We start from the raw sequence: 13,636 nt of genomic DNA on the forward strand, positions 1-13,636 counted from the left end.
TTTTTTGAGGGAAAACATTTTACATAAACCGTCTTCATATTGCTCCAAAGCACCAAACCTTATGATTTCCACATGGTAGATGTTTAAGAGATTTTGTCAGATGGATGAAGAAATGCATAAATGAATGATGAACTTTGACATTGGGCAGTCCCCTCCCTAGGCCTTAGTTTTTCCCTCTGTCTAGTGAGGGAGTTTGACTAGATGATCCTTAAGGTTCCTTTTCAGTCTATCTCACATCCAGGCTTAATATTAATGAAAAGCTTTGAAATACCTCTTTGAATTTTATTACTATGTGTTCTAAGTAAAGGAGGCATGGTTAGGAATTATATATATGATTCATTGGAGTGCCTTCCTGGCTCACAAACTTATTTTTTTTTGTCTTTCCTAGGTTTACAAGTTGTCCTGAACTCCATTATAAAAGCCATGGTTCCCCTCCTTCACATAGCCCTTTTGGTATTATTTGTAATCATAATCTATGCTATTATAGGATTGGAACTTTTTATTGGAAAAATGCACAAAACATGTTTTTTTGCTGACTCAGGTGAGTAATGAGAATTGTAGCTAACTTAACTTTAAAATTTTTTTGTTTTCCCCAAAGCAACTTTCATGGTTTGGGGAAAATCTAAAACAAAATAGGAAAAAAAATGCCCAATATACCAGCACATTTACTGAGCCAGTTCTCAGTGTGAGCTATGTTCAGAATAGATGAGAATTCAGTCTCCCTTTCCACCCCGATTTCCTGTGTAATGTGTCCTGGCAAACAAGATAAGAGACCTCCAAAGTAAAAACATGAGGCAAACCAACAGCATTGTGCTATCTAAGCCTAAGGAGGATGCTGTAAGCGCAGGTGCAGAGGAAAAGAACCATGGATGCTGACAAGAGGAAATGGCAGATTCCGCTAAGGAGGGAGCATTTGAAGGGAACCTTGAAGGACAAGCAGGATCCTGAGGCAACGCAGATGGGGCGGTAGGGTGTCCCGGGCTCTGGCAAGGGTTCTCACCTTCCGCTGGCTTGGATTTCCTGATGTTTCTGTCCTGAGCGGTACAGCCTGTTTGCTCTGTTTGCAGATATCGTAGCTGAAGAGGACCCAGCTCCATGTGCGTTCTCAGGGAATGGACGCCAGTGTACTGCCAATGGCACGGAATGTAGGAGTGGCTGGGTTGGCCCGAACGGAGGCATCACCAACTTTGATAACTTTGCCTTTGCCATGCTTACTGTGTTTCAGTGCATCACCATGGAGGGCTGGACAGATGTGCTCTACTGGGTAAGTACCCTGGGGAGAGAGTTTATGGAGTGTTCTTTGCTTGGATAAGTGGGTTTTGTGAGCTAGAGCCACTGGAGAGGTGGCTGGAAAAGAAACCCTGAAGTCAGTTATTTGGGAAGGGAAGCAGATGCTGTCTTTACCAGCAGTCTTCATCATCCTGCTCCTCGAGGGCCTTAGTTTCAGTTGCAGGAAGCTGCTGCGCGATGTTGGCTTCTGGCTTTAGTCCTCTACTTCCCAGTGCTGCCTGAAGACCTGGTGCCAAGGGTGCCCAGTGGTCCCCTTTGGAGGAACTCCAGGAAGCCAGGGCTATCCTGATTCAACTCTTAAGAGAGCCAAAGGGTCACTTTCCAGGTAAGGAGGCTCCTGGACTGCCACAGGCTAAGGTTAATCATTTATACATCAAGGCAGGTTGCTCTACTAGATCCTAAAGGGAAGAAAGGGAATGTAAATCGGATCCCTTTCATGCTTTTCATAACTCAGTATAACCTTAAACCCAGTGTGAGTTTCTCCCATGATAATATTTCCCATTCTTTAGTATTACTATAAATCATCCCAGCACAAAACCTTAGCTGTCTTCCTTTCTATTTGAAGCTACAGACCTCTGGCAGAAAGGGTAGGAATGGCACGTAGACTTCCAGGGCTGGTGGACCCATCCAGCCTGCCATGAAAACAGTTGGACACTCTTTCAAGGCGAGGGTCTGATTCCTCTTGTTCCTGATAGAGCCAGAAAGATTTGCTGTATAAAAATAAGTGCTATAGCATTTTAACAGCCATTTCCCAGGGCTGAGTTTGTTAGAATGCAAATAAAGCTCACAGAAGTTTAGAAATTGTTTTTCACGGTATAAGAGTTGCTGGTAAAGACAGCTAACATGTAGATTTTGAGCCTAAATCCAAGTCCAAAGGGGAGTAACCAGGATTCCAATCATGAGTTGTTAAAAGGAAATTAGTAATAAAGTAGTTCTGAAATCAGCAGCTTTTAGACAGAAGGCCTGTAAATTGATAAGTAGCTTCTGGTAGTTTCTAAATTTTAGATACTTTTCAGGATTTCCTATACTCCATAACTTCAAAGAATGTAACATATAATGGTTATAAATAGGTTTTTGCTGCCCTTCAGCAGCTCACAGGATTGTAGATGTCCCTATATATTTAATATGAGGCAAAGAAGTTATATTTTTATCTTTAATCCCCAAAGTCAGTCTAGTTTGATCAGGTTTAAGCATCACCAACATGTTATATCTTGTTTTTCCTACTTCCCTTTCTTTTTCTGATTGTCATAGGAGTGTGAGTGTGTGTGTGTGTGTATGCATGTGTGTGTGTGTGTGTATGCACATCTGTTATTTATATTCATAAAACGTCTTTTCATAAAGAGGAAGGAGGAAGGAGATGATATTGGCTGAGCCAGGGGCATGGCTTCTGTATGCAGGAGGGCCCTCAGGTTAGGTGAAGCATTCATTTTTGCTATTATTTCCTAAATTGCAACTTCTAGTCAGATTAGTTGAGATCTCAATTCCAGTCTTCCCTTGAAGTTTTTCATAAATAGAAAAAGCATCATCAAAATAGCCCAAACTGATACTTCCCCTCCCCAAACAGTACATAAAACAACATTTTGATTTTTTTAAAAATCAAAATCTGTGACTCTTCTCAGCTTTGTTTTTCTCTCTATTGACATGGTGAATTGTCAGCTGCAGAGCCAACATGCCTTGACTGATGAAAAATTTTATACTTTATGTTATATTCCTTCACATCGATTCTCAGAATTTTCCTGTTGCCAAGCAAGTGTAAAACCTGGGAGTAGATGATTAAAGGAGAGGGAACTTCAGGCTCCTAGAAGCAAAAGTTTCCGCTTACTTTCCTGAGAAGGTTTAAATATCATCTAGGATGATATAATTACTATTTTTATTATTAATATGACAATCACGTGGTTAATACTTTGACAGTATAATTGCACTCTCCATAAATTACACAGCATCTTTATTCTGGTGGGGATCTCAAGCCATTCATAAACTTTATCCCAGTCTGTATCCCTTTATAGAAGGTCTGGGATCTTGAAGATGGAGACAGTGGCGTAGAGACCATGGAACATTCCCCGAGTTCTACAGCAAATGGTTGTGGTCCTTGATCTAGAACAGTGGTCTATAAACCTTTTCATAAGGGGGCAAATAGAAAATGTATTTGGCCTTGCAGGCTACATGGTCACCTCAGCAACTGTTCAGCCCTTCCACTATAGCTAGGAAGCAGCCATGGGCAATACATAAGCAAATGGATGTGGCTTTATTCTAATCAGACTTCATTTATGGACCCTGGAATTTGAATTTTGTATGATTTTTCTGTGTCATGAAATATTTTGCTTTTGATTTTTTCCCCCACCAACTATTTCAAATTGTAAAAATCATTTTTAGCTTGAGGCCATATAAAAGCATACAGCAAGCTAGATTTGGTCTGCAGGTCATGCTGTGGGACCCCCTGGCCTAGACTAGAACCCAGCACTCTTTCCTTGGCATTCTTCCACCTGTCAGCAGTTGATGAATCCTTCCAGAACACTAGGGGGCAGCTAAGTAATGTCTTCCCGACTGTTCTCTAAGATTTTACTCTCTGAAACACATCAGGATTGTTTTTAATTACCTGTTGATTGCATTTATTAGCTCATCATAGAGATAGGCAGGGGCCAAGGAACCAAGCCTTCCTAATATTTCATGGGCCACAGTCAGCTGGAAGCCACACCGCTGTGATACACAGCAGAACATCCCTGCCCAGCATGGTGCCTGGCACCGAGCAGGCACTCAATAAACACAAGGGATGGTCATCATCCTTCAAGTGTACCAGGCATATTGCCTCATTAGTGTAGATGTGCCATGTTTGAATATCTATTTTTATCCACAACTAGGGCATAAAGGGGACATCTTGGGAGATAAAAAGAGATTAGATTTTAAATATTGACTACAAGCACATTTCTGAATCCTTTAGGCACTTACATATGGTGGACAAAGTCTTTGCGGGTCATTGTTTTGCATCTAGTCAAGTTTATATTCAGTCAGCGTTCTCAAGCTCATTTATGCCTTGCTTCTCACTAGTGTCTGGAAAATGTCTGGCAGGGTCTTGAGAAGGGAAGTAAAGGTGGGTCCAATATGTAGAAAGGCACACTTAGAACAGGACTATTTGGATGTGTGGGAAGTGGGATCATTAAGTTCTGGTGGAAAGAAACCTATGGTAGAGTTCTTTGATAAAGTGAGTTCCATAAATATAATTGAGCTGTTGTTTGACTCACATGTGAGTGTTTGTTGCTCACAGAGGCAGTAGGGTGTAGGGCAGGGAAAGAGTGTTTATTTAGCCTGGTTGTGTGACCTTGAGTAGTTCATGGAACCTCTCTGGGCTTCTCAAGATGCAGAAATAAACTTACATGATTTAATTTTTCCCTTCAACTTAGAGGAAATTTTTTTTCCTTCAATTCAAAGAAATTGTTTTTAAATGCAGGAAATAAAAAGTATTGGTTTCAGGAGACAGCTATCCAGATAAATAATTTCGGTGTCTTGTCTTAGCACCAAGCTCTTTTCTCAGTGCACACTCCTACGGAGGTGCTGGCTGTCAGACCTTCACGGGAAGTACTCATGGTCAAGCTGACAGTCTCCTTCATTCAGGGCACCTAGGAAATCTCTCTGTAACCAGCCGAGGGCTTGCCTTTTTCTTATTGCATGCTCTGGGGTGTTAAAACCAGTATACCAAGTTTCCAGAAGTGTTTTCAGCAGCTAGAAAAACAGCCTTGCATTGGTCTATAACTTGAGACATGAATATGCATTTCAACCTTTTATTTTTATTTTTTACATTTTTTTGAGACGGAGTTTTGCTCTGTTGCCCAGGCTGGAGTGCAATGGCGTGATCTTGGCTCACTGCAACCTCTGCCTCCGGGGTTCAAGCGATTCTCGTGCCTCAGCCTCCCAAGTAGCTGGGATTACAGGTCCTTGCTACCACGCCCAGCTAATTTTTGTATTTTTAGTAGAGACGGGTTTCACCATGTTGGCCAGGCTGGTCTCGAACTCCCAAACTCAGGGTGATCCACCTGCCTTGGCCTCCCAAAGTGTTGGGATTGCAGGCGTGAGCTGCTGCACCCGGCCCATTTCAGCCTTCTAAAAGAAGGAAAACTGAAGCTAAAAAGAAAATTATTTCCTGGGCACCAGATGACACCCCTTGATGACTTTGATATAAGTTTTTTAAAAATTAGTCTAAATTGAAGTCCTTCAGTGGAAGCCAGTTTCTTCATTGTTGATAAAGACCATACAGGCAAAATCCCAAGCAGTCTCTATTTTCACGTGGGTATTTTTGGGAACAGCTTGCATGTTCTGATTTTTCTTTTGTATATGGTAAGATCCAAGAAATGCTTGGCTCTGAAAAGGGACTTGGATTGAGAAGGGTTCAATGGGAGCAAGACCGTTCTCAGAGCCGAAGCTTGTCTCTCTTGCCCCACCTTCTGACTTAGAGATTTGGAATCTCCAGTGGACTGTATTCATCTCCAGCCTTCCCCTCCAGGCCTCAACTGTCATTCCAAGTGATACTTCTGATTTGAGCAAATGTGAATCTGATGAACACCTACTCCCAAGAAATTAAAAGGGTTTTAAATTTTTTAAAGGAAAATTTTCCCTCCCAAGTAGAGAAGACAGCTGTTACTAGAGCCATTCTCTGGAACACCAGACTGAGGCCTGAAGGAGGGTTGGTGAAGCAGATGGCTCAGCAGATGACGGTTGCTAGGGTCATGGAAGAGTGAGGTTTCCTGATGGGAGCCCTGGACCTGTCTGCCCTCCCGTCACCTTGTTGGGCACCTTCTCCCCTGCTGCATGCACCTCTGTTCCAACACAGAGGGAAACAAGCCCAGGTGGGGCTCTGTCTCAGGTGCTGACCCAGGCCAGGCACAGGCCACCACACCAGGCAGCCAGTTCCTTCTTCATATATGGGTTTTTCAGTAAGTTTAGTGGTATAGTTGCTCTGGATGAATTACCCTCTGCCTTCCTGCTGAAATTAGTTTATCCAACTTAATTAGATCAACAATTGCAGCCACAGCCCAGGCTCATTCATTACTCTAATTGCCAATGTAAGATGTGCAGACTGATATGAGTTCTATTAAGCACATCAATTTTCATGTGGCCAAACAGGTGTTTCATAAGGGATTTAATGCCCTCTCCCTAGACTTCAGCAACAGATGTTAGGTAATTTTTTTTAATGTTCACTTTCCCTATTTGGCTTCTCGAGGCAAACATTGTGAAATGCACGAGCCTCATTCTGTAAAGTTAAAACCTGGAGCCAGATCATATGCAGGAAAGCACATGCTTAACACCCTAAGGGCTTGCACCTGCAAGGCAAGAGCGATGGCTCTATCCAGACTGTTTGCAGTTCTCATTGGCTGAAAATTCTGGGTGTTGTGGCAGGGTCATACCTTGGGCCATCCATTCTGTCCCCTGACTGGTTCTTAACACCTCCTTCCTGGGAAAGGTGTTTTGCTGAATTTAACATTGACCTGTGCTGCTGGAAAGTTCCATCCAGCTGTGATCCTTAAAGCCCTGTTTGCTCTAGCTTCCTTTGGCCAGGTCTGCCAGGGAGACTGTGTCTGAATGTGCAGCATGAGCTTGTCCGGGAATAGGGGAATGGGGTTCCTCAGGCCACACCCTTTCACCTCTAAACCCAGTCAGCTCACAGCTGGAGCCAGTCTCCCAGGGGGGTCATCTAGATCAAAGCTAAGTGTGGAGAATAAGGGCTGCTTCTCCTTTCTGTGGGTGCAGCTAAGAAAAAGCCCATTCCCCAAAGAGCCCGTGGCTTGTGTCAGCTAGTTGACCTTGAAAAAATTTCTTTTTCACATTCATTTTGCTGCATTCATTTTGTTTGCACTCACAGGTTGCAGATAATCCAGATCTAAGGTGGGTTTGGTTTCCTTGGGTAGGTTGGTTTCCAGTAGAAGATTATTTTAGGAGTTTTTAAAAAGAGTTTATAGAGTCAGATGGTACAAGTTTGTCTCTATAATTAAGACTTTTCCACCATCACAAACTTTAAACACAAAGTCTAAAATCTTGGGCAGCATAGAAAATAGGTTCTAGCTAAGCAGGAGTTTTGTCCTCTACCAAGACCTTTCCTGAAAATCACTTATCAAGACAGTTTCCTGTAAGAAAAAGCCATATCCCAGCTGATTTTCCTTCCTGGGGCCAAAATCTGCTATTATTCGGCCTGAAAGCCTTGATGACTCTGTGTGTGTGTGTGTGTGTGTGTGTGTGTGTGTGTGTGTGTGTGTGTGTGTGTGTGTGTGTATGGATGCTTGTGTGTGTGTATGGGGAATATGTGATTAATGTGTGTTGGCTGCTGTTGTCTCTGATTTGGCTACTGTTGTTTCTGATTTAAATCTAAGTAAATGTTTAATTAAATGTATAGAATGCTGTCTCTAATGTGACCCTCTCTCCTTATTAAATCCTCTTATTAACCCACTCCTATGAGACCATCTTATTTCTTGCAGATGAATGATGCTATGGGATTTGAATTGCCCTGGGTGTATTTTGTCAGTCTCGTCATCTTTGGGTCATTTTTCGTACTAAATCTTGTACTTGGTGTATTGAGCGGGTAAGCTACACCTCTTTCATCTTGAAAGCAGAGTCCTGAGGACAGTTGCCAAGACCACACAAGCTTTGCTGGATGAGGGCCGCCAAGAGGGGTTGCCAGACATTTTATGTGTCCTCTGAGATGCTTTCTTTTCTGCTGAGGCTTCCCAAATCAAGCTGTTTCCTGGAACCTCACCAGGCTTCATGAAGGAGAACTATAGAACGATTATTGACCAGAAATTAATCAGCATTGTTGCTTGAGATTTAAACAATTTCCATAGCATGCCCTTTTTTTGTCTGTTCTAAAGTGAGATACATTTATAATTGCTTTATTTGTCTGGATCCAAATATAATGCAGATTAATTGTTATAAAACGATAGCAAAATGAGCTGGATTGGGTGGGCTTTTGGTAGTCCCCATTTGTAGATTTCAGCCGCTGAGCTTGTCCTTATTTGCAGAAAAAAAAAAAAAAAGGGAAGGACCTAGGCCCAGTCCCTGTCCTAGGAGCACTAACCTTCAGCAAAGCACTGAGAGGTTTGGCAGCTGCAACTGGGGCTCTGCTCTTTAGTAAATGGATAACTGATAACTGATCTCCTTACATTTTACAGGTAAATGATGCGATAGGATGGGAATGGCCATGGGTGTATTTTGTTAGTCTGATCATCCTTGGCTCATTTTTCGTCCTTAACCTGGTTCTTGGTGTCCTTAGTGGGTAAGCAGTCGGATCCGTGTTGCACCTTCTCCTGCTGCCACGTGTGAGGCAACTCTGCGTGTCTCCTAGCTGCTCCCTGACAGCTTCTCTGCATGTGTTTGGACTCTGATGTCCTCTCAGTGTGTTGCTTTTGGATTGAACTGTGATTCTTTCTGCCTGTATCTGTCTGTGAGATTCCGTGTTTCCAATGCTTGCCAAACACTGTTAATTTAATGAAAACGTTCCCCCAAAGCCAGTTGTGTTAGTATGTGAACGTGTAGAGGTGGATTACAAGTGAGTTAAAGGAATTCCAGCCTTGGTCTCCCCCAGGAAAGAGGCTTTTGTCCCTTGTCATTTTGTGTCTATTAGTACATAACTCCTTGTCGTTTTGTGTCTATTAGTACATAACCTGGCCCCTTTAGGTCACCACAGTGCATTATAAATACTTCCAGGGGAGTTTTAGATTTTACTGTGAAGGAGAAATAAGCCTCAAGCACATAAATACTGGACAGTTTCAAAATCTTCCTTAGATTGGGATTCTTTATTAGCTTGGTGTTCTAGTGCTGTCATTGTGAGAACTGTCCCTGTGATTCAGTTTTAACCGAAACTTACAGAATCCTTCTCTTAATGCAGAGTGATGATCGACTTTTGTGCACACATTTCCCATGGCCTTACAGAGACCCCGTCATTCAGTCACGATTTTTGAAGTTTGCTTGTTTATCACTTCCTCTCTATGGATTGACTCTCCATAAAGAGGGTGCAACAGATTCTGGCCTGGAAAGGGAACTCCTTATGTTGCAGGCTCTGCCTTGCCCGTAGCTGGAGATGCCATCCCAGAACCCTTGTGGGCAGCCCTGCATCCACACCGCCTCTCAGACACCCCCAGAAGGTGGGGTGCTACAGAGAAGGGAGCTGGGGGCTGTATGGCTCTCTCACAATCAGCTCCTTCATACAGCCATTGCCGGGTTGTGGGGGGCAGGCAGGATACCAGGAGGCCAAGAGGGGCCCACGTCTCCCAGAGGAGCCTCTGTCACTGCGCTGCGCCCAGGCACCCTCAGGAAGTAGTGTTGATGGATTTGATTCCAGGCAAGTTTATCTCCTCCTCACTCACTTTATCTTGCTCTTTCCGAGGCTGTATCTCGGGGAAGTGATGTCTTCATGTATGCTGAGTTAGTGAAAGGCTTTAATCGCATTTTTGGAAACACTGCCTTTTCCAGAGCAGAAAGCAGAGTGCGTTTATCCATCTCGGCTTCCTTTCTGCATCTTCCCCTAAACCTGCCCTGGATTGAATGTAGTCAGTTCCACACCAGGGACGCATACTGTCACAGGAAGTCCCTATGTAGAGTTGGCCCAGGGGCCAGTGCCCGCCAGAGAGAGGAGTGGGGGCTGAGCCTGGGATGGGGCCACATAACCCTCCCCTGCCTGAGCCGCCTCCTGTAGATGAGTGGCTCCTCAAGCCTCCGGCCCTTCCACCTCAACGTGAGAAGTGTCTCTCTCCTAGTAAACCTCAGTGGCCTTAGGCTAGGGTTGGACATGTGAGGGTGGTGTCTATTCCTGGAGAAATAACATCGCATTTGATTTTGCCACAGGAGCTTTCTATACAAGGTTAACAGCAATCCTGTTGTGAATTCCTTGGCGCCTCATGTCTCCTAAACCCAGCTAAACTGACGGAGGCCATGGAAACCACTAATTTTAACAGTGCCGGTGACATCCCTTATCTTTTAGCTTTCCCAGGCAGGAACCGTTGCCCCAGCAGACATGATGAAGTAGAGGCAGGAGCCAGATCGTGAGGTGCTTAAAAAAAGAAAAGAGAAAAAGATGGGCGGGGGGGCTTCCCACTATCACAAATGGGGATTAAACCTGCAACTCCGTGGGAGGTACCCAAAGCTGGAGGATAAAAAAGGTACACTCCTTCATGGAACAACCAGTTTACTGAAATATATTTTGGGGGGAAATAATTTTTTTAAAAAATATTTTTTCATCAAAACAAAACTTAGATCCCTGATGGAGGAGACTGGAAATGACACATGAAATTATAAAAGAAAACCCGAGACTTCTCTGCGATTTTTAACTGTCAGTGCGGGCTGTGCTCAAACCCCTAGAGGCTGCACATGACCTCCTCTCTACTCCCCCAGAAGGCCTCCGGTAGGGCTGGTTTGGGTAAAGGCAGAACCATGTCTGCAAAGCACAGCCTCGCAGCTTTGTTCCTGATTTGGCCAGTATTTCCTGAGATCCTGTAGAGTGCCCGGCTCTGGTCCAGAGGCGAGGGGTGCCAGGATGTCTCAGACACAGACAGCGGCCTTGTGCTTAGGCGTTCATTATCTCATGGGGTAGCCCATTTTGAAGCAGTGCAGAAGGGCACATATTCAGTAGAGGTGCAGACCCAGAGGCTCTGTGAGCTGCACTAGAGAGATGAGGAGGCATCTCCCCCGGCGACTGACGATGGGCTGGCATGCCTCCACCTCCGCCCCTCCGCCCCCTCGCCCTCCCAACCACCACCTTCCCTCTCTGCCTGCTACTCCCCTCTTACTTTCCCATTGATATTTTTGTTGTTGTTTAAGCAAATTATTATTATTTTTTTAAATTTTAGCCTCAAGAGTCTTCATAATTTTTTAAGGGAACACTAGAGGTACTGCAAAACCAGAAGGATATAAATGTTGAGAGGAAGACAATTTGTGTTGCATAGACCCTGAGGGACTGTCAGACCAACACAAATGTAATCCGCTAAGCACTGAATTAAAACGCCCTCATTTTAGAAAGGCTGGTCGAGACCATGTGATTGCCTTCTCACGAGGAAATGTTAGATGGTGCTGTATGTCTTCAAGTCTGTCAGCCATTTGGAAATACCTGTATCTGTTTTTGCTCCTTGGCTCCGTCATGTGTGTGGCCATGCCATCCTATTGTATTCTTGAACAGACTTTAATCTGCACATTGGATTTGGTGTTTATTTGTAAAGTGTTGTAACACTGATGCTTTGGGAAAATCTTTGGTTTTATAACAGTCTTTTTTCCCTCAAGGTAAGTATGAAGTTTATGAACTGTAAACCCTATGCAGCCATGCATGAATATAGATGAATACTTCCATCTCTGATCACAGTGCTCTGTGGGAGGGGCTGAGAATGTCTATGTCTAATGTTGCAATTTAACCTTAAGTTGTCATTGAGGATATGCTCCCATTATGACCAGGAATTGGAAAGAATGTCTTCTTTAAGTCTGCAATTCAGACATATTACACGTGGTCTTCTAGAAGTTTGGCAATTTTTCACTTTTCAAATTGTTAATTGAACTCCCTTTTGAGGTTTTCATCTTTAGAATCATGCTAGATTCCCAGGGGGACCATGGGGGTCATGGGTGGTAGGCTGGTTGGCTCTGCCTCCTTCTCCATTTCAGGGCCCACCTGCCACCAGCCATCCCTATGGTGGCAGTGTCTGAGCTTGCAAGATGGGGGACGCCCTAGGCTCCCAGGATGTGGCTCCAACCCCCAGGAAGGGGGCTGGAAGACTTGGGTTCCGTCCTGCTGGAGTCCCGCGTTCACTCTGGGACTTCACTGAGTTACCCTGAGCCTCGGTCTCTTTGTCCTTCAGGATATCAGCGACATCCTGTCTTGCCGTCTCCCACACAGGGTGGTTTTCAATCAGCTAATGACTGTAGAAGTGCTTCTAAAAATACATAAAGGGTTTTTCTAATTTAACATATCCTTATCTTAAATCCGTGGATATCCCCCACTCCCCTCACTGGGTTAGGTGGGAAGGGTGCAGGGTACTCTTTGGAAATTCTGGAGTGTAGCATTTTCTGGATTTCCCAGCAGGTGGCCACACTTTACACACACATCAACGTTGTACTCAATGTCACCCAAGAGGTGGCTCTGGAGAATGTGGAAGCACTGTGTCAGCTGCAAAGTATTACGCAGGTCTAAGTCATTGTTATTATATATTTGACAATGTTTTTTTGCACAAATTGAGGGGAACGGCATTTCTATTACATAGTGGTTAAGCACACCAGCTTTAGAATCAGACAACCAAGTCTTGAATGTTTGTTCTACCTTTTCCAGTTGTGAGATTTGGGGCAAGTTACTTACCTCTTTGAGCCTTACTTTCCTCATCTGTGAAATGGAGCTCATCACAGTAGCAGCTTCGTGAAGTTCAGTGAGGACTCAGTGAGCTGAAGAATGTAGAGGGCTTGGCCTATTGAAATTATGACAGTTCAGGAAGGGTGCATCTCTTCCTGGATTTGATGCAAGAAAAGAATCGAATCAATTCAGTCCTTTCAAACTAATTAATAATAGCTGGCCAAGATAGGTCTGTGTTAGTGAAAAGCCCAAGTTATATTTTTAAAATGTTTTATTATATATATAATGACATAAGCTACTGCTGACTAAAGGATATTACTACATAAACCCCCTCCTGGGCTTGCTTTAAAGAATAGATCAAAATCATTTATAATTCGCTTATGAATTCAAACCTTTGGTTTTGGCAACAACTTATGAAAAATATTTGAAATACTTTGTTAAGTAGATCTTGTATGTTGTTAGACAATAAATATTGTTATTAAACCCACTCTTATGACATAAAATTGAATGTAAACCCAGCCCAGGTCTATAAATTCAAAATCATACCAATTAATTTGTATTCTTGGTGTTCTAGTAAGTTCCAGATCCTACCAGATCACAGGTATCATTTTAAATCAATCCAATTTTGTATTACTATAGGCCTATTTATCTTTAGAAGTTTAAGGGAACATGGATGAAGCGAAGCATTATAGAAAACTGAAGGCAATTTTCAAACTAGTTTATGTTTTTGAATCTCGCCTCCTACATCCCATTCTGGCTAATTGGATACCAGGGGCCTAGACAAAGACTCAGGCATGGCTACTTTTAGGAAGCTTTGGTTTCCTAAGGCAAAGATTCATGGGATGGAGAATGTGAAGAGGGAAGGTGGTGCTGGTGCCGGTGTACTGTGGACTGACTATACCAGAATTTTACATAGTGGAATCAGGTTTGGTCCATTTAAATTCATACTAGTAATAGCCAGACAATCTCTGATTTCTTCTACTTGAATGGTGGCTCAAGAGGCAAAACACACCAATAGATAGTAGTTGTATTACTTGTGAATAT

The 13,636-nt window shown here is 43.4% G+C and overlaps 1 protein-coding gene across 22 annotated transcripts in view; it reads left to right on the forward strand.

Moving 5' to 3' along the window:
- The window catches only part of CACNA1D (calcium voltage-gated channel subunit alpha1 D), a 319,123-nt gene that overhangs the window by 170,661 nt on the left and 134,826 nt on the right, over positions 1–13,636 (forward strand). For 17 of the 22 annotated variants that reach the window (NM_000720.4, XM_005265448.4, XM_047448874.1 and 14 more), the window contains 3 exons: positions 389–541; positions 1,068–1,264; positions 8,442–8,545. In NM_000720.4, the coding sequence (NP_000711.1) occupies positions 389–541; positions 1,068–1,264; positions 8,442–8,545 (454 nt within the window). Of the gene's footprint in view, positions 1–388; positions 542–1,067; positions 1,265–7,751; positions 7,856–8,441; positions 8,546–13,636 lie in introns of all 22 variants that reach the window. The other 5 variants (NM_001128840.3, NM_001128839.3, XM_011534094.3 and 2 more) reach the window with 1 other exon arrangement.

This window comes from Homo sapiens, chromosome 3 (genome assembly GCF_000001405.40).
Source record: "Homo sapiens chromosome 3, GRCh38.p14 Primary Assembly".
Classification (NCBI taxonomy): Eukaryota; Metazoa; Chordata; class Mammalia; order Primates; family Hominidae; genus Homo; species Homo sapiens.